Below are 20484 nucleotides of genomic sequence, written 5' to 3' on the forward strand. Positions count from 1 at the left end.
GGTATGTAAAAATGTGTGGGCCAGGTGCGGTGGCTCACGCCTGTAATCCCAGCATTTTGGGAGGCTGAGGCATGTGGGTCCCCTGAGGTCGGGAGTTCAAGACCAGCCTGACCAACATGGAGAAACCCCGTCTCTACTGAAAATACAAAATTAGCTGGGTGTGGTCATGCATGCCTGTAATCCCAGCTACTCAGGAGGCTGAAGCAGGAGAATCACTTGAACCCAGGAGGTGGAGGTTGCAGTGACCCAAGAATGTGCCATTGCACTCCAGCATGGGCAACAAGAGCGAAACTCCATCTTATAAAATAAAAGTGTGGTTGACATGATATATCTGACACTGTTAACTTACTCTCAGAAGCTACTTCTTGTGAAATCCTAAGTACAGCATTATTCTGGGAAGCAAAGGCGACAGGCATAAGCAAGGACAAATTAAGAGAGGTAAGATTCCCATCATGATTGATAGTCTTGTTCTGACATCTTGAGAAAACTGTCCACAGTGTAAAGTCATCAACTTGTTGTCTTGGTTTGCAGTTTGAGTGTCTCTAAGTTATGGTGTTGAACATTTGGTGAGTTCTTAGCGGCCCACACCTCAGACATGAGAGTTTTCTCATGAAATTTACATTGAGTTGTCCATCTCCAGCTTATATGGCTTCAGGAACAGAGCCACTCTTGTTCTTAATTATTTCATTGGAGAAAATTGAATTGGAAGAACTAAAAGAATTCAGGGTCCAGTCCAGTCTACCAGTGGATTATAAATACTCAAAGATAATGAACAGTGGTTCAATCTGGTAACAGGTGTACTACAGTTCTGCTTTTCAACATAGTTTTTCTGTCTATAGGAGTCTCTATTTTTACCAAAGATAATTCCAGTAGGATGAATTTGTTTGCAAAATAGGTTGAGTCTCACCGAACTTGCCCAGACTTTTTACCTAAGTGCGGCAAGAGTAGCAATGGACCATAGAGGCTCTTTTTAAACTTCGCTTTGCTAGAAGTTTTTAATAAGAATCTCAGATTAAACTTCCAAAAACCTCTTGAGACTAGGAAGCCAAACCAAGGGCAACTTCAGACTTTGCCTGCATTCCCTATGGGTTTATTCTATGTATATTCTCAAATATAACATCCCAGTCAAAGCCTTGGTAATATAACCGATGTTTTCAAATGTGTCCTGTTATAAAGAGAGCAGATCCTTACTGAAGTTGTGCAAATAACTTTATTACCATAAACATATGAATACTCATGAATAGTTTCCCAATTCTGGGGCACTCAGCAAAAGCAAATGTTTCAATTTTTGTTTACAAAAGTATACTTTACCAATTGTTCAAGGAAAAAAGTTCATAAATCTGGAGAATAAAACATTCAAAGACTCAGCACATTTTCAAATAGAAAATTATGAAAACATTATCCTTTTGATTATTTATTCCAATAAAATTGAGTTTTTTTTCTTCTTTGTCTTGAATTTCATGAAGGTATCAGCCTGTTCATTAAAATTTTGAAAGTTCTTAGTCCAGTGGTATGATCTTGAAGTTATCAGGAGCTTGTATTCCAGAGTCCTTGTCAGAGTCTTTTCCATAAATCTCCTTGAAGAAAAAGCAATTTTGGACTGTAGCTGATGGTAAATACTTTGAGGAAGAATCAAAGCAACTGTCTGGGAATGACAAAGATTTAAAATGACTATGGTTAAAAATCTAATGAGAATTTATTATGGTAAAGACACAGCTCACATAGAAATCTAGTTACTTCTGTGGCATAAGACACTATGATAACATATTTGATTTCCAGAAATTTCATATAATTTTTATAATACTCATTAAAAAAATTTTTTTTGAGATGGAGTGTCACTCTCTCACCCAGGCTGGAGTGCAGTGGTGCGATCTCAGTTCACTGCAAGCTCCGCCTCCTGGGTCCATGCCATTCTCCTGCCTCAGCCTCCTGAGTAGCTGGGGCTACAGGTGCCTGCCACCACACCTGGCTAATTTTGTTTTTGCATTTTTAGTAGAGATGGGGTTTCACCGTGTTAGCCAGGATGGTCTCGATCTCCTGACCTCGTGATCTGCCCACCTCGGCCTCTGAAATTGCTGGGATTACAGGCGTGAGACATCACGCCCAGCCTAGAATACTCATATTATTAACATTCCCATAAATATTATTTAGAGAAGGTTTAGCATCAATTATCCCTTATTTGAAAATGCTTTCTATAAATTTAATATATAAAATAAGGTGGATTTTCCGTTCAGCTTCTGTTTCTCAAGAGGATTACTGAGTTGTTGGTGTAGCCCATTCATAAATAGGACCAAAAAAGTATAGTCTTATGTATGTTGAAAAAGGTCCTTAGGTAATTCCAGTACTTCCAGCAGAAAATCATTGATTTAGTTTTAAGTTCTACCTATTACAATAAGAGTTCTCCATCCTTGTTACATGTTAGTAGTGTCAGGGAAGACTTAAAAATTACCAATGCCTGGGTCCGTCTCCAGACCTTTAAACTGGAACTAATGGGTGGGGCTTGAGCATCCACTTTTAAAAATGTTTTCCAGTGATTCCAATGTGTAGCTCTATTTCCCATCAGATTTCTCTGATTTCTTGTGGCATTCAATTTTTTCTATTTTGGTATCATGATTATTTTCAGGTCTCATTTCCTGTCTTAGGCTTTATGTCTCCTGGCGTAGGGACCTTGCCTTCTTCATTTCTGTATCTTTTTTAAACACATGAACTGGTCATCAGGAAAAGGTCTCAACCACACATAGGTTGTGTCCTGAGTCTCAGGTTCACATGTTAATCCTAAAGTCTTTGTTCTCCACGAGGTCAGATGTTGCTTGTGATGAAGGGTGTGGTTAAGTCTGCAGTGCAGATGGTGGAAGGGATTTCACTGTTTTTAGACATAGCATTGGAACTAAGAATTTTATGTCTATATGGGTGAAGGGGCAGGGATGTGTAGGAAGACAGTTCTAATTAGGATGAAGGAATTATACTAGGAAGTAGAGGTAAAGGAAGTGAGAAGGCTTAGTAAATAGAAGAAATGTGAACTTATCAAAGTGGCTAGAGTAGACCACTGGAGATTCTTGATTAAGTGAATTAACTAGATTTTAGAAAGGTAATGAGGCAGTCATATGCAAGGAAGATTTCAAAGTCTGGAGACAAGAAGTCAAGCAATACTTTGAGAAGTGGTTGAGCTTTATGGGAATTGAGAGAATTACAGTATTGAGAGATGTTAAAAGTAACGAAGAGGGTTTCATCATGTGAAATTGTGTTTCTCATTTGAATCTGAGAAACAAATGAGCAGAGGCTGGAGATAATTATGTCTAAAAGACAGTGGGGTACAGGGAGCATAAAGGCCAGGGAGAAAGGGAACTGTAGGAATTAGTGCTGAGAAGCAGGAGTTTAGTGGAGGAAGGAGGAGATGCAGTCCCAGATACAAGCAAATAAGTCTTTTCCCTCTCCCAAGCATGGCAGTCAGCCCTGCAGGAACCAGGATAAGAGAAAAGGCCATCATACCTGCCAGTCTTCCTGAAATACAGAAATGACATCACCGCTGCTCTATTGGAGTAAAGAAAGGAAGACGTCCTATTCCTGGAGGAGCTGTCATGGAAAGAAAAGAAAAGAAGGAATGAAGATGATGTTATTTTACATGGGGGAGCTTGAGGAACAGGCATGTAGCATGAGGTACTCTATAATTGTTTCTTCAAGGACTACATTATTTCTGTTGGAAAATTGATGGGAGATGATTATATTCTTGCAGTTTTTTTTCCCTCTTACCATACTTCTAGGTTGGTGATCAGTCCTCTGTCAATTCTCTACTGCACTCAGATATTTTGGAAGGCTTTCAGATGTGAGAAAGGCTGATTGCTATTTTCTATGTCATTAGAACTTGCCACCTTTGCACCTTTCCATGGTTGCATCTTTTTCTCAGTGTCTCTGTTATGGCAGTCACGAATGAGACCCTGCCAGGTCTCCATGGCAGGCACCTGATTTACAGAAGGCCCAGATCAGTACATTTCAAATTCACCACCTCCTTTGCACAGAAAGCTTCTTTCCTACAGGCTCCCAGGAAGGGTGTGAAAGCAAGCCTAGTTCTCTGAGGATCTCTTTAACTCCAATGGGTGACTGGTTGGAGGATTCCCCATCAGCCTTGCAAAAACTCTTAGAATTGCATTGGTACCTAAAACTTATTTCTCTTTCCTTTTCACAGGAATCAGCCCTGGATAGTGGTCTGTGGGTTCTCCCATACTACCTTCATGCCTGCCCCACATTCCCTCAGAGGTGTCTTCCCTGATAAATTATCTTGTATGTCTAATCCCATCTTGGATGCATCTCAATTGGTAAAAACTAACATACCAGGCTTGATTCTTTGCACTTAGCTTTTTTTCTTTCTCTCCCACAAGTAGTCAGTAGCCATGTTCTAGTGTTCTATGTGTTACCTCTTTTTCCATATGTATGGAAAAAGGAAGGTACTGTTGAGGTGCACTTCCTATGTGCCAGGCCCTGTGCTCAATACTTTACCTGTATCTCATTTAAGCCACACAATAACCCTGTCAGGTAGACATTATTTCCATTTTGGCAATGAAAAGACAGAAGCTTAGCGTGGTGTAAAATCTTTCCTGGTGTCATATGGCTAGTGACAGGTGGATCTGAGATTTGATTCTAGGACTATTTGACCTCAAGGCTAATGATAATGGTAGTAATATGGTAGCTGACATTGGTTCCTCTGTGTGTGGCATCTTGTTTCATTGACTGTATTAAACCTTTAAAAGAATTGTATGAAGAAAGTAGCCTCATTGCAGTTTTCAGGTGAGGAATCAGAGGTTCAGAGAAGTTGAGTCTTGTGCAAGAAATTTATAACTGTAAACTCTTACATTAAAAAAGAAGAAAGAGCTCAGGTCAACAACCTACTTTAATACTTCAGGATATGAAAGAAGAACAAACTAAACCCAAGCACAGTGAATGAGGGAAATAATAAGGATTAGAGTGGATATAAATAAAATGGAGAATGGAAAAATAATAGAGGAAATTACTGAAACCAAAAGTTGATTCTTCAAAATAAAATCAACAAAATTGACAACCATTAACTAGATTGACTAAGAAAAAAAGAGAAAAGTTTAAAATTACTAAAATCAGAAATGAAAATGGACTCTGAGCATGGTGGGTCGTGTTTTAATCCTAGCACTTTGGGAGGTCACAGCGGAAGGATTTCTTGAGACCAAGTGTTTGGGCCAGCATAGTTAACCCTGGGAGATGCTGTCTCTACAAAAAATAAAAAACCAATTAGCTGGGCATGGTGACATGCACCTGTAGTCCTAGCATCTTGGGAGGCTGAAGAAGGAGAATTGCTTGAGCCCAGGAGGTTGAGGCTGCAGTGAGCCATAGACACACCACTGTATTCCATCCTAGGGTGGCCTACAGAGTGAGAGCCTGTCCCTCTCTCTTCAAAAAAAAAAAAAAAAAAAAAAAAAGAAAAATGAAGCGATTACTACCAATTCTAATAAAATAATGATTATGAAAGTAGTATAAATAATTGTATGCTAATAAATTGGATAACCTATATGAAGTAGACAAACTCTTAGAAACACACAAATATATGAATAGAACTATAATCAGTAATAAGATTGAATCAATAAAAGTAATTGATGAAATTCAGTATTTTTTCATAATAAAAACATTCTAAGAATGGAAGGAAACCACCTCAACATAAAGGCAATATGTGAAAAACCCAATGCTAACATCATACTCAATAGAGAAAGACTGAAAGCTTTCCCTGTATGAGCAGGAAGAAGACAAGGATGCCTGCTTTTGACACTTTTATTCAATATAATATTGAAAGGTCTAGTCAGAAAAATTAGGCAAGAATTTTAAAAAAGACATTCAAATTGGAAGGAAGGAGTAAAATTATTTCTGTTTACAGATAACTTGAACTTATATGTAGAAAATCCTAAAGATGGAACAAATCTATTAGGACTAATAAATAAATTCAGTAATGTTGCACAATACAAAATCAACATTCAAACATCAGTTGTATTTCAATACACTAACCATGAACAATCTGAAGGGAAATTAAGAAAAAAAAATTCAATTTCTATTAACATCAAAAAGAATAAAATATTTAGGAATAAGTTTAACCAAAGAGGTGAAATGATTATACCCGAAATCTACAAAATATTGCTGAAAGAAATGAAAGAAGACATCAATAAATTGAAAGACATTTTGTTTTCATGAATTGGAAGACTCAATTTGGTTAGGAGGACAGTGCTACCCAAAGTGAGCTGCAGATTCAATACAATTCTTATCAGAATCTCAGTGACATTTTTGCAGAAAAAGAAAAATCTGTCCTAAAATTTATATTGCATCTCATGACTCTAAATAGACACACAGCTTTGAAGAGGAAGAATGAAGCTGGAGGACTCACACTTCCTGATTTCAGCATTTACTACAAAGCCCCAGTAATCAATACAGTGTGGTACTGGCATAAAGGAGGACATAGAAATTAATGAAATATAATAACCTAGAAAGAAATGCTTGCATATATGGCCAAATGATTTTCATCGAGTGTGCCAAGATCGTTCAATGGGGAAGGGACAGTGTTCTCACCAAATGATATTGGAAAAGCTGGATATCCAAGGGCAAGAAGAGTGGAACCTTTACCTAACACCATGTGCAAAAATTAACCCACAATACATGAAAGATCTAAATGTAAGAGCAAAAACTATACAACTCTTAGAAGAAAAGGTCCATGATACTGGATTTCACAATGATTTCTTGGTTGTAACAACAAAAGCATAGGCAACAAATAAAATTGATAAATTGGACTTCACAAAAATCAAAACCTTTTGTATATCGAAGAACATTATCAGGAAGGTAAAAAGGCAACCCATGAAATGATAAAAATATTTGCAAATTATATGTGTGATAAGAAATTAATTTCCAGAATACATGAAAAGCTACAAGTCAACAACAGCAGACATCCAAAAACCCAATTAAAAAATGAACAAAGGATTAAAATGGAGTTTTCTCCAAGGAAGATATACAAATATCCAATAAGCCCATGCAAAGTTCCTCAGCATCATGAATAGTTAGAGATATGCAAATCAAAACCACAATGTTACACCACCTCACACACTTGATGGGAATGGGAAATGTTATAGCCACTGTAAAAAGTGGTGTGGCTGTTTCTCAAAAAATTAAACAATAAATTACCATTTGATCCAGCAATTCCACTTCTGGACATACTCCACATAGAATTGAAAGAAATTTGAAGAAATATTTGTACTCTGATGTTCAGAGAAGCATTACTCACACTAGCCAAAAAATGGAAACAACCAAAAAGTCCATTGAAAGATAAGTGGGTAGGCAAATGAGGTGTATCTACAATTAAAATGTTATTCAACCTTAACAAGGAATAAAATTCCAATACATCGTGCAAAATGGATGAACCTTAAAGATATTATGCTAACTGAAATAAGCCAGACACAAAAGGATAATTATCATATAATTCCATTTATAAAAGATAGTTAGAATAGCCAGTTACATAGAGACAGAATGTAGAATGTTGTGTGCTAAGGGTTATGGGGAGAAGGAGTGAGTTACTGTTCATTGGGTACAGAGGTTTAATATGGTAAGAGGAAAAAGTTCTGGAAATGGATAGTGTGATGGTTACACAACACTAAATTGCACACTTAGAAATAGTTAATGGTAAGTCTTATATTAGATATATATAAAGTGTTTGGTAGTCTTACCCTCTCTATAATTACACACTTTTTGGCACTGCCCCTTTCCTGCGATGCAGAGCCCCAGGGGTGAATCTCCCTATTTCTCCAGCTCTGCATCAGTCACTATCCTCCGTGCTGTGTCCCACATGCTGTGCCCACAGCCTCATACAGCCGGTGACTTCAGAGCCAGGACGCAGCTCAGGAGTCTGCCCTGAGGCTCCCTCTCTTCTTATTTCCCTGCAGCCTGGCCCGGGGGAGGCTTGGCTTCAACTGGCAGCTCGATTTAGCCAAATTCAGGACAGGCCACCAGGGCTCTTTCTCCACACATGCTGGTCCCACCCCAGGTGGAGTCAGGCAGGGCCAGTCACCAGAGGAGCCTGGAGCAGAGCAGGAAGCAGAGTCTGAGCTGCTCCTCCCTCACCCAAGGGGCTTCCCCGTCTCATTTGGGGGAACAGTGTGAGCTTGTTTCAAAGCCTCAGATGTTCCTTGTAGCTCATGGAAGAGGTACAAGAAAACAAAGACGTGGCAGAAGGGGATGTGTTGGTGACATCGAGAAGCAACTTGATCTTGAGGACTCTCCTTCTCATCCGTCTCTGAAGTCTCTTCTACCACATAGGGCTCAGGGCTGATAAAGCCCCCTCCCTAACTTTCTTAGGCCAGACACAAGGTCAGCCATGAGAAAACAAAAACAAGAAGAGAGTCTGTAGAGACAAATTGGGAGGGTTCAGGAGGAGAATTTGGGATTTGCTTGTGCCCATGGGACACAGGCTGGGAATAAAAATGTTTTCCTAACTCTTCTCTGAAAGCCAGATAGACTCCACCTAAAACCCTATTGCCAAGGATGCTGGGATCCACTTACCAGAGACTTCGACTGTCATGGATTTGGAGCTTTCCTTGCCAGTGGCTGAGTTACGAACAGAGCAAGCATAGAGCCCTCTATGCTTTGTAGTAATTTGGGGGATAAAGAGCTTTTGTTCTGATTGCTGAAACTTCCCATTAATTGTCCAAGAGTACTATGCCGGTGGGTTACATTCCGCGAAGCAGGACAAGTAAAGGTTTTGTCCTGAACGGTAATAGGTGAATGAAGGGTAAATTCTGGGGAGGTCTGGACCATCTGGAGCAAAGAGAATAAAGCCACAGGTGATGTCATCCGAGGGAAGGGGATGCTCCTGGTCTCTTAAAGGGACACAGTGACCCTCTGAGCCAAGACACACCTTCAAGTCCCAGCCGAACCCCCTCTATGTTCACTGAGCTGAAGCCTGAGGTATTCACCTGTTTCTCCCCAATCACAAGCTATGGGCACCAAGTCTCCCATGACAAGAGCGTCCCCTCCCCTTATATTCTTGGTTAAGGCTGTGCCTACCCAGGATTTCCCAGGGCAGGGAGTCATGGCCAGCTCGGATGTCCAGAAGTAAAGGTGTCTATACTTGGACCGGAGAAAGACTGAGAGGACTGGCTTGTGGTCATTTAGAGTTAAGCTGGTGTCCTGGCCCACAGAGGAACAAAAGATACTCACAGAGGACATTCAGGGTGACTGGGTTACTGCGGATGCCACCATATCGGTCCCGTATTTCACATTGATAGGGTCCTGTTTCATTTCTCGTGACACTGGGTAGAATGAGGATCCTGTTTTCAATGGGTCACTTTACCCTGGGACTGACTGGGAGGCTCTGACCATTTAGCCACCACGTGTAGGTGTAGTTCTCACTTTTAGGGTCACAGGTGAAGGGTAAGACATCCTTATTCTCCCTGGGTTTTGAGTTGTTGATGGTGATGTAGGGCTTGGGCAGCTTCGCTGTGTGGATAACAGAGAGAAGATTGTCCTGTGTGACACCTTTGATTCCTCCACAGGCATCCCTCAATCAGAGTTGGCATCTCCCACCTGTCATCCCACGCGAGTCCTTGAAAGCCAATAGCTGGTGCATGTGTCACAAGACAGATGTATGATGATCTAAGGGCTCAAAGACTGTGAGGCCGCCTGCTCTGTCTTAGGGAAGCATAGACTTTCTCAAGTGTCAATTGAGCAGCAGTGTTGGGTCATGGACAGACACATCAGTAGGAGTCACAGCCCCTGGTACCCCTCCCAGTCCCTCCCTAATCAGTTGACTGGCTGGCTCACCTTGGGTTCCTTACCTGGAATATGCAACTGCTGGGCCCCTTCCAAATTCCATCCTACTTTGTCCCCCTAGACGTGATTTCTCTGCAGCTTCCATTTCCAAGGACATTCTAGAGATGAGTAATAATGGGACTTCCCATTGTCCTGAAACCCTGAATATACTGAGCAGCCTGGCCTGGGACTGGATGTTTCAGCAAAAATAAGACAGCAGAGACCATAGTCAAGCCTGGAGGTCAGTTCAGTCTACAGGCAGTGGAGGCAAAAGGTGGGGCAGTTTTTTGCAGGTGTTTCATGATGACTTACTTGAACCAGTGACCTCTAAAGATAGAGCAGAGTGCAAGGAATGATCTAGAAAGAGTGAAGGGGACAGGCAAGAGCTGGAGGCTTTGGAGCAGAACCATGTTGCCTGTCCTGCGTTCAAGTTTCCTCTCCTTCTGCAGAGGGCAGGTGAGGACCATGTGGATCTTTCCAGAAATACATGTGGACATTTGCATATGCAGAACTGATTGGTGGAAAGGGTGGGAATGAACTGCTGGAAATCTGGTCCTCATGGACCATGTGTGTTTGATGGATATGATACAAATTTAGAGAGAAGTTTTGCAAATATTTTATTTCATTGGACATTCTACTCTCTGATTCCATGGGTTCGACTACTCTAGGGACCTCATGTAAGTGGATTCCAGAGTGAATATGAGAAGAGACTGCTGGTTTCCAGGAGCTGGGAGTGGGGAGAATCAGAAATTGTTCATGGGTGTGCAGTTTCAGTTATGCAAGGTGGGGAGGTTATAGAGATTGGCTGTCGAGCTTGATACCTATAGTTCACACAGATTGAGTATTTCTTATGCATAAGACTTAGGACAAAAAGTGTTTTGGATTTCTGACATTTTTTGATTCTGAAATATTTGTCATATACTTACTGGTTTAGCATCCCAAATCTGAAAGATTCAAAATCTAAAATGCTCCAGTGAGCATTTCTTTTCAGCATCAGATTAGTAGGCAAAAGTGGGAGGTGATAAGCCAAAGATATTCTTGCCCTTTTTTTTTCTCTCACCACATTTCTAGCTTGGTGATTAGTTTTTGGTCAATTCCATACTGGCCATGCTGCACTCGTATGTTTTTGAAGGTTTTGGGATGTGAGAAAGCCTGATTGCTATTTTCTGTGTCATCAGAACTTTCCACCTTTTCATGGCTGCATCATCTTTTTCTCAGTGTTTGTGTTGTGGCAGTGATTAATAACAGCCTGTCAGGTCAGATTTAGGACAGAGTTTTCTGATTCTGCAAAAAATTTTACTGCGATTCTGCTAGGGGTTGCATTGAATCTGCAACTCACTTTGGGTAGTATTGTCTTTCTAACAATATTGACTCTTCCAATCCATGAAAATGAAATGTCTTTCCATATATTGATATTGCATTTAATTTCTTTCAGCAATGTTTTGTAGTCTTCAGTGTATAATCATTTGACCTTTTTGGTTAAACTTATTCCAAAATAGTTTATTCCTTTTGATGTTAATGTGAATTGAAATTCTTTTCTTAATTTCCCTTCAGATAGTTCATTGTTAGTGTATAGTGTAAAGAATGATCTAGAAAGAGTGAAAGGGACAGGAAAAGCTGGTGGTTTTGGAGCAGAAACATATTCCCTGTCCTGGGTTTTTGATTTTCCCTCTCCCTTTGCAGAGGGCAGGTGGCTCTTCCCTGATAGCTAGATAGACTTCACTGGAAAACATATTGCCAGTCCTCCAGGGATCCACTCACCAGGGACTATGATCCTCTTGATTATGAGATTTGTTCCACCAATGGCTGAGTTATGGATGAAACAGACATAGACCCCTCTATATGTTTTGGTGATTTGGGGTATAAATAACACTTGTGCTGATTGCTGGAACTTCCCATCAATCAGCCAAGAATGCTCTGCTAGTGGGTGAGAGTCTGTGAGGCAGGAGAGCTTGGGGACTTCCCTTGTATGGTAATAGGTGTATGAGGAAGAAATGGTGGGGGCATCCAGGCCATCTGGAGCAAAGAGAATAAGGTCACAGGTGATATTGTCAGAGGGAAGGGAAAATCCTGGTCTGTGGAAGGGCCACAGTTGCCCCGTGAGCCAAGTCGCAACACTGAAGTCCCAAGAAAATCCCTGCTGTGTTCACTGATCTGGAGAGTGAGACATTCACCTGTTTCTCCCATCACAAGCTCTGGACCATGAGTCTCCCATGACAGGAGCAGCCTCTTTTCTCCTATTGTGGATCAAGCCTAGGCCTACTCTTGTTTTCCTGGGGCAGAAAGTCATGGCCAGTTTTGATGTCCAGGGATAAAGGTCTCTGTACTTGGACCTGAGAGGGACTGAGAGGCCTGGCCTCTGGCCATGTGTATTTGGGATGGCAGCGTGGCTCACAGAGGAACAGAAGATAGTCACGGAGGAGATTCAGGGTGAATGGGTCACTGCGGCTGGCACTCACTGGGTTCCGTATTTCACATTCATAGGGTCCTGCAGTATACTTTGTGGCACCAAATATAAAGAGGGTCCTGTTGGTTTTGGACAGCTGCAACCTTTGAGTGGTAGGGAGGTTCTGACCATTCATCCACCACAGGTAGCTTGCGTTCGGAGTTGCAGGATCACAGATTAAGATCACAGCCTCCATGATCTCCCTGGGGTTTAATTTGCTGCTGGAGATGGAGGGCTTGGGAGTCTCCACTGTGCAGAAAACAGGGAGAAGATTGCCCTGTGTGGCACCTTTGATTCCTCCAAAGGCATTTTTCAATCAGAGTTGGCATTTCCAACCTCTCAGCCCACCCGAGTCCTTAAAAGCCCATGGCAGGTGTGTGTGTTACAAGACAGATGCATGGCAATCTGAGGGCTCAGAGATTGTGAGGCTGCCTGCTTCATGTGGGAGAAGCACAGACTTTCTCAAGTGTGAATTGAGCAGCAGCATTGGGTCATGGAAAGACACAGGACCAGCAGTCACAGCCCCTGGTGCCTCTCTGAGTCCCTCCATCTCCAACTGCCTGCCTGGCCCACCTTTTGGTCCTCACTTGGAGCATGCAGTGCTGGAATCTTCTTAGCTTCAGTCTTACTTTGCCCCCGAGGCATGTTTTCTCTGCAGCTTCCCTTTCCAAGGACATCCTAGAGATGGATGATGGAACTTCCCATTGTCCTTAAACCCTTTGGGTACTGGAAAGCCTGGCCTGGGACTGGGTACTTCAGCAGAAATAACACAGGGGAGACCAGAGTCAAGCCTGGAGGTCAGTTCAGTCATCAGGCAGTGGAGCCACAAGGTGGGGCAGTTTTCCCAGATGTCTCATAGTGACTGACTTGAGCCAGTGACCTCTAAAGATAGAGCAGAGTCCAAGGAATGACCTACAAAGAGTGAAGGGGACAGGCAAGAGCTGATAGCTTTGGACGAAGACCACGTTCCCTGTTCTGGGTCCATGATGCTCCCTTCCCCCTGTAGAGGGCAGGTGAGGACCATGTGGATCTTTCTGGAAATACATGTGGATGTTTGCAAATGCAGAACTGACTGGTGGAAAGGGCAAACATGAACTGATGATGGAAGTCTGGCCCTCATGGACCATATGTGTTTGGTGGATATTAGACCAATATTTGGGAAGAAGTCTTGCAGATACTTTCTCTCATTAGACATTCTACTCTCTGATTCTGAGTTTGACTACTCTATGTACCTGATATCAGTGGATTCCAGAGTGAATCAGAGAGTAGAATAGTAGTTTGCAGGAGCTGGGATCAGGGGAATAGGGCGTTGTTCCGTGGGTGTGCGGTTTCAGTTATGCAGGATGAGGAGGTTCTAGAGATCTCCTGTGCAGCCTCGTGCCTATACTTCATGCAGATACAGTGCTCCTTATGCAGAAAGCTTAAAACAAAGTGTTTTGGATGTCTAATTATTTTTTTATTTTGGAATATTTGCAGTACATGTACTGGTTTAGCATCCCAAATCTGAAAAATTTAAAATCCACAATGCGCCAGTGAGCACTTCTTTTTAGCATCACATCAGTGGTCAGAAGTGTTGAGTTTTGAGCATTTCAGATTGTGGATTTCTGGATTTCAGATGCTCAATTTGTAATACTGTAATTTTCCCATAAAAAGTTTTCAGGACTTTAGACCTCATGTTATGTTCTGACTCTAGTAACAAAAAAAAATTTGGAGGAAACATTGAAATGTTTTCATAAGTGGGAATTTTTACTGATGGTCCAAACATCTGAGATCAATTGCTGGTAGTAGTATTTCTCTTGAGGCCAACATAAGGTTTAGGTGTGCCATGAATTCCAGCAGGATCACATTATGCTCAAAGAAAGATGCCAAAGGTGATTTGAAATTAGCAACTCCTTAAGTAGAGAGAGTCCCGTTAAAAGGACAAAACTGGGTAGTGTGTCAATTACATAAAGGGAGGAATGATGCCAAATTAAAAGAAGTGATGTGTGTTATGTTAGTAAATATAGAAAGAACTCCCTGCTTCTGCTTTCTGTGCCGAGTTAGGAAAAATCGGGAGGAGCACAAAGCAGGTATGTGAAATACTTTCTTCGTTCTCTCTTAAGTTCAGGAAATAACACTAGAGTTTAAGTTTGTGTGAATTAGGAAGAGTCTAAGTGAGATGCCAATGGCTCGTGTGTCTCCCCACAGGAAGAACTCGAACTTATGAAAGCAGCATCATCATGAGGAAACAGTTGTATGTGGCACAGGCAGTAATACCATCAGATAGCACCCACCTGGCCACCTCCAGCTGGTCCCCAAAACCACCAGTATTCCCATTACATGTAGGTTACAGCCTTTGTAGTTGTCCCACAACAAAGAAATTTAAAAATTGCTATTGTCAAAACAAAATATTAAATATGAAGGCGAATATGTTGTTCCACTTTTTTTCCCCACTCTTTTTGACCTTTCTTGTTTCAGTTTTGGAAGTTTCTATTGACACATCCTCAAGCTAGGGATTCTTTCCTCAGCTCTGTGCAGTCTACCAGTAAGCATCAAAAGCATTCTTCATTTCTCTAACAGCATTTTTTATTTTCTGAGACAGAGTCTCACTCTGTCACCCCGGCTGGAGTGCAGTGGCATGATCTCAGCTCACTGCAAGTTCCGCCTCGCGGGTTCATGCCATTCTCCTGCCTCAACCTCCCAAGTAGCTGGCACTACAGGTGCCCACCACCAAGCCCAGCTAATTTTTTGTATTTTTAGTAGAGACGGGGTTTCACCATGTTAGCCAGGATGGTCTCTATCTCGTGAACTTGTGCCCGCCTTGGCCTCCCAAAGTGCTGGGATTATAGGCATGAGCCACTGTGCCCAGCCATCTCTGAAGGATTTTAACGAGTTGTTGACTTTTGAGTTTGTTCAGTTTTTACTTAGCGTTAGAACCGAGTGACAAATTTCAAGCTTGTTATATGCCTGACAGGAAGCCAGAAGTCTCTAGGAAGTGACTGGAGAATGTGAGCTCCACAGCAGGTTGAGGATGGAGTCACGAGTGAAATGAGCCCATGGGCTTTGGGGACTGCAGGCCTGTCCAGCCTCTGACACCCTGGTGAGTCAGAGCAAAGATTACAACAGTGACAGGAAACTAGCGTGGCTGACTCCATCTGGCATCTAGTCTCAGGCTGGCTGTCCTCACTCATTCCTGGGCATAGGCCAGGCTAACATTGGGAGGAATTTAGTTTATGGTTTAACTTTGAAACAAGAAAGATAATAGTACCTCCATAAAACTAACACCCTTACTTTGCCCAGGGGCTGCCTTTCTAAAACTAGTGAAAGACCATGAGATTGAGATTATAGGAGGGAACCGAATTCTGCTACAATGTAGGCACAGTTTCTATAATCCCTGACTGATCAAATGTCATTTGGCCAGAGTTTACAAAATTTGTAACTAATTGCTCCCATAGATAACATCACTATTGCAGAACGTGAGATTAGTCTTTTGAGATGTTTTTCATTCTTTTGCATTCTGGCAACTGGCTGACCTCATCCATACCCATGACTAATGGCTCAGCCAGCCATGTGGTCCCTACCTAGAAGTGGATTCAAGCACAAACAGTTCATTTCCCTCCGCCCGCATGATTCCATCACCAAACAATCAGCAGTACTCATTTTTTAGTCCTGTGTCCCTGAAATCATCCTTGGAAATGTCTAACACCTGATCCACTGGGGAGGCTGATTTGAGTAATAATAAACCTCTGTCCTCCTGTTTGGCAGACTTGGAGTCATTAAAATCTTTCTTTACTACAAACCACCATTTCAATAATTTTTTTTTTGTGTGTGTGTTTGTGTCTGTGTGTGCAGAAGGCCAGAAGAACTTGTCTGGCAATGATAACAGTGGATGGAGAACTGCCTATCCCTGTCCCATGGTCTTGTCCACAGGTCAGCCTCACAAAGGGAAAGAGCCCTAGATGGGAATACATTGGAAGCTCATTCTCTTAGTGACCTGGGGACATTGGCTGGAGATAAAGCCCGGCAGGAGTGGCAACTCCAGGTGATTTCTACACCTTTCCTATTTCCTGGGAGGTGGGCCAGGCCACAGTGTTAGCAGGAAGGGAACAGAACTGCCAGACTAATTAGAGGGAGTGTCTGGGGAAGGCCTAGGTGTGGAGGAAGAAGCTGTGCAGGACAGGGCTTGCCAGTCAGAATGAAGTGGGAGGAAGATGAGGGACACAGAGAAGCAGAGAGAGGCAGAGACACCATGGCAGTGAGCAGTGAGGGAGACACTGACTTCAGAGACCCCAGGTACCAGGTGCCCCCATTTCCTCAGTCCAGGACCAAGGAGCCCTGAGAACCCTCCGGTGGCCAAAGAGCTTCAGAGTTGCATGAGGTGGGGTGGCTTTAGGGGCAAGAGGTAGTAGGGGGATGAAACATGGGTGTCAGCCTCTGAAGGACAAGGGACAGGTGTGGCTAGGACCTCCTAGGATTCTGCATCCAAGATCCAGTCTCTAAAGAGGTTTTGGATCATTCATTTCTTCATTTGATTCCTTCATTTGTTATGTGAGAGCTCCTGAGTATGTGTCTCTGGCTGGGCCTGTGCTGGTGCAGGGTGTGAGTGGGGAAAGAAAACAAGGTCCTCTCCTTGATCCTCTCATGACAGTAACATGGACACTTTGGGAAACACAGGATTTCAGGTTCAGTGATGGGGGTTAAGATCTGAGGGGGAGGCCTGGACATTTTTTTTGCACTGACTCTGATGGTTGAGGCAGGTGATTTAGTTCTGGAGTACAGACTAATCAGCTGACCATTTGCTCTCACTCCTCTGAGGTTTGGATGCCTAAGAAGAGAGGATTTGAGCCAATAAATGACTATGGGGTGCTTGAAACCCAGTAAGCCCTCACTTCTGGTGGAGGAGAGGATGGGCCTGTGGCTGCAGACAGACCTCATGTGACCCTGATCTCCCCTTTGGGTTTGTGTGACTCTGGTTCAAAGACTGTGCCTTCCTGTGCCTCTGTTTTCTCTCAATCAAATAAGTTAACTGGCAAATGGACTGTGGCTTTTCATGCTATCTGTGAATAAATGTTAAAGTATTCACAGTCACCTGACTTAATGCTTGGCACAGTGGAGGTGTTCACACAAACAGCATTTATTATTAATTTGCTTCCATGAGAAAGCACATTTATGTCAGATCCCTGTGGACAAGCTGCTACCAGTTACACCTTCTCTCTTCTGTTTCTGCTTCCGGGAACATTAGACTTTCTATGGACTGTCCTGAGCCTCCCAAGGCAGTTGGCTGATGGCCTACAAAGCTTGTCTTTCTGTCCTCTCCACTCTGAATGTCAGGTGAAGAAAGCTCTGTCCTTGCCCAGATGAGGCTCTGAGGGCTGAGCCCTAGCTGGTGAACAGCTGCAGGAGACACAGTCCTCAGACAGCTGGAAAACCCTTGGTCCCAGTAAGCCCTGCCCAAGAAGCCACAACCCAGCCCCAGTACAGGCTCCTTAGATTTATCTGCAGCAAGGATTTAGGGACAAGGGTCTGGGGTTGAGGCTTCTAGGGCTGAGCTTCTCTGAGAGTATCTCAGGTGGCCTCTCAGGCCAAGCCCTACTCAGTTATCCAGGGTCTTTCTCAGGGTCAAATTTATGAAGAGGGCATGAGGTGCCTGGCTGAGACTGATCTCCTCCTGCTGAGTCCCCCCATCAGACTGTCCTTCCTCTGCAGCGAGTGTCTGCAGGGTCTGGATGTGGGAAAGGAATTCTGATCTGTTGAAATTTGTCTCCTCTGTGTGTGTCCTGCACTAAATGCCCAAACTCCAGCATGGGACATAATGCAGAGGGGGACACAGGCACAGTCCAGGCCTGACAATCCTGTGTGTGTGAAGTAGAAGTGACCCCTGTCCCCCAACACCCAGGGATCATGTGGAATCACTTACGGTATAAGGTGAAGGTGAAATTTCCAGTTACTCCTCTAGTCCCATCACCTCGCTGTATGATGTGTAAGGTGTAGGATACTCCGTCCTCCCGGGTGACATTCTGGATCAGCAGGGATGCATTGGAATATACTGTTTCTCGTCCACTGTATGCAGGCCCATATGTAATTCTTTGACCGTCTACTACATATGATGTAATGTAATGGTAGAGGTCCCTTATTTGCCCTTTCTACCACATGTAACCAGTAAGATTCTGGGGCAAATTGTGGACAAGTAGAAGAACATCCTTCCCCTCGGAAACTTTGGGTGGCTGGGCTTCAGTCGTGACTTGGGCAATGGTAGGTGGGTTCCAGAAGTTTAAAAGTGATGCTAGGAGGTGGAGAGAGCATCAGTCAATATTGAGACCTGTGTATTGGTGTGAAAACATGGGGCCCTGGGTCCTGAGAAGGTCTCTTCAGTCCTCAGCCTTGACAACACAGACACACACACACATACAAACACACACACACACACACAAAAGCGGCATGTGTGATTGTGTGTGTGTATGTGTGTGTGTCCTACTGTCCTACTAGGTCAAGGTCAGCAGCATGACGCCCATTCCTTCAACACTTCTGACCTTGGCATTTTTCTGTTTGGAATCCTCTTCCCCAGGGGTCCGCATGGCCCCCTCCACACTGCCCTCAGGTCCTGCTTACATCAGGGCATCGTTAGACTTCTTTCCTGATGCCTGCTTCAGAGACCCTGGGTCTTCCCTTTCTGACCTTTCCCTGCTCTGCTCCCTCCAGGGTTCTTGTCAACACCTGACCTCACATTCTAGATCTCTTTGCATGTCTGTCTTCCCCCCCATGACAGCGTGAGCTCCGTGAGGACAGGGACTTTTGTGATCTTGGTTGCACCCCAGTGCCTGGAACAGGCTGCAGACTCCTGTAGATGTGAGAGTTCTCAGGGCCCTCCATGCCCTGGGTGTTTTTTTTCTCCCAATTGTTGAGGTTTTTTGCTGAGGACAGCATTTCATGTCCTGCTTATATTTTTATTTGAAGTGTCATCTGATATAGTTATTATTATCATTTTTCAAAATGTGCTGGCCTCTGATGATTAATCAGGAAAACAGAACACTTAAGATTTTCCTACCTCTTACCAATTCCGGTTCAATGTGACTTTCCTATTTTGACCCCTGTCCCTCTCTGGTGTATTTTCCCCTATCCAGGCATCAACAGAGCGTTCTTTCCTTTTTTTTTTCTTTTTTTCTTTTTTTTTTTTTTTGTGACGGATTCTCGTACTGTCGCCCGGGCTGGCATTCAGTGGCACTATCTCGGCTAGCTGCAACTTCTGCCTCCCGGGTTCAGGTGATTCTCCTGCCTCAGCCTCCCGAGTGGCTAGGATTACAGGAGCACACCACCATACCTGGTTAAATTTTTGTATTTTTAGCAGAGACAGGGCTTCACTGTGTTGGCCAGACTGATCGTGAACTCCTGATCTCCTGATCCACTCGCCTCAGCCTCCCAAAGTGCTGGCTTCTTTCATTTTTTAGAACCCCATCCTCTCCAGGAGACCCCATCCAGTCACTCTGCTTCCTCCTCCTGTCCTCTCCCAGGAAGTTCTCTCCTCACCTGTGAGCAGGACCCCCTTCCATTTGATGTGCTGTGTGCAGGGAGGGGCTGAGAGGGGCCCCATGGTCTCTGCTGCTTGTGTGTTCTCCTCTGTGGAGATGAGCCTAGGTTCCAGAAACTTCCTGAGCACGGCTGTAGGCTGTGCTGTCCTTCCTCCTTCTGCGCTGAGCCTCTTCCTGGGGCAGGAGCACTTCTCAGGCTCATGGGTGGGGTTAGGCCCAGGACACCTCTCTGTCCCCTCCTCTCTACATCCTGCCTCCTTGTCCCTCCTTCTGTTTTTCCTTTTGTCTGTGTTTCAGGTCCCTGGGAATTGTGGAGGCCTCTGCCTTTTTCAGCAGTGATTCTTTCACCAAACCTCAACACACACTTTGTGCAGACACAAACACACACAGACACACACCCCCCCCCCCACACACACACAGAAGAGACACACACAGACCCACAGTCACACACATACCCTGCAGGTTGGGCAAGCAGAGTCCTGGGCCTCAGCCTCCAGGTGTCCCCATGGGTCTTGGTTGCGGTGCACATTCATGCCCTTTGCCCTCTTTCATCCCCATCTGGCTCTCCCTTGCAGTGCAGGAGGCTGGAGCTGCACCAGGTCCCTGTCACAGTGATGCCCCATTGTGCTGTGTGTGAGCTGTGTGTTGCCTGGTGAGAAGGACCCTTCCTTTCTCTAATCGTGTCTAGCTTGGCTGCAGCTTCCAAGGATGGACATTGAGGACCTGGGTGTC

At 43.7% G+C, this 20484-nt stretch overlaps 1 pseudogene across 1 annotated transcript; it reads right to left on the reverse strand.

The window, feature by feature from the left end:
- Nucleotides 1-1191: 1191 nt before the first annotated feature.
- PSG10P (pregnancy specific beta-1-glycoprotein 10, pseudogene) lies at nucleotides 1192-19913 on the reverse strand (annotated as a pseudogene). Its single transcript, NR_026824.1, has 7 exons — nucleotides 19751-19913; nucleotides 18144-18509; nucleotides 9211-9489; nucleotides 8554-8808; nucleotides 3751-3959; nucleotides 3490-3573; nucleotides 1192-1577 (listed from the first exon to the last, which is right to left on the reverse strand). The product of NR_026824.1 is annotated as a pregnancy specific beta-1-glycoprotein 10, pseudogene (transcript).
- Between the last annotated feature and the right edge of the window lie 571 nt (nucleotides 19914-20484).

This window comes from Homo sapiens, chromosome 19, assembly GCF_000001405.40.
Source record: "Homo sapiens chromosome 19, GRCh38.p14 Primary Assembly".
NCBI classification, from domain to species: Eukaryota; Metazoa; Chordata; class Mammalia; order Primates; family Hominidae; genus Homo; species Homo sapiens.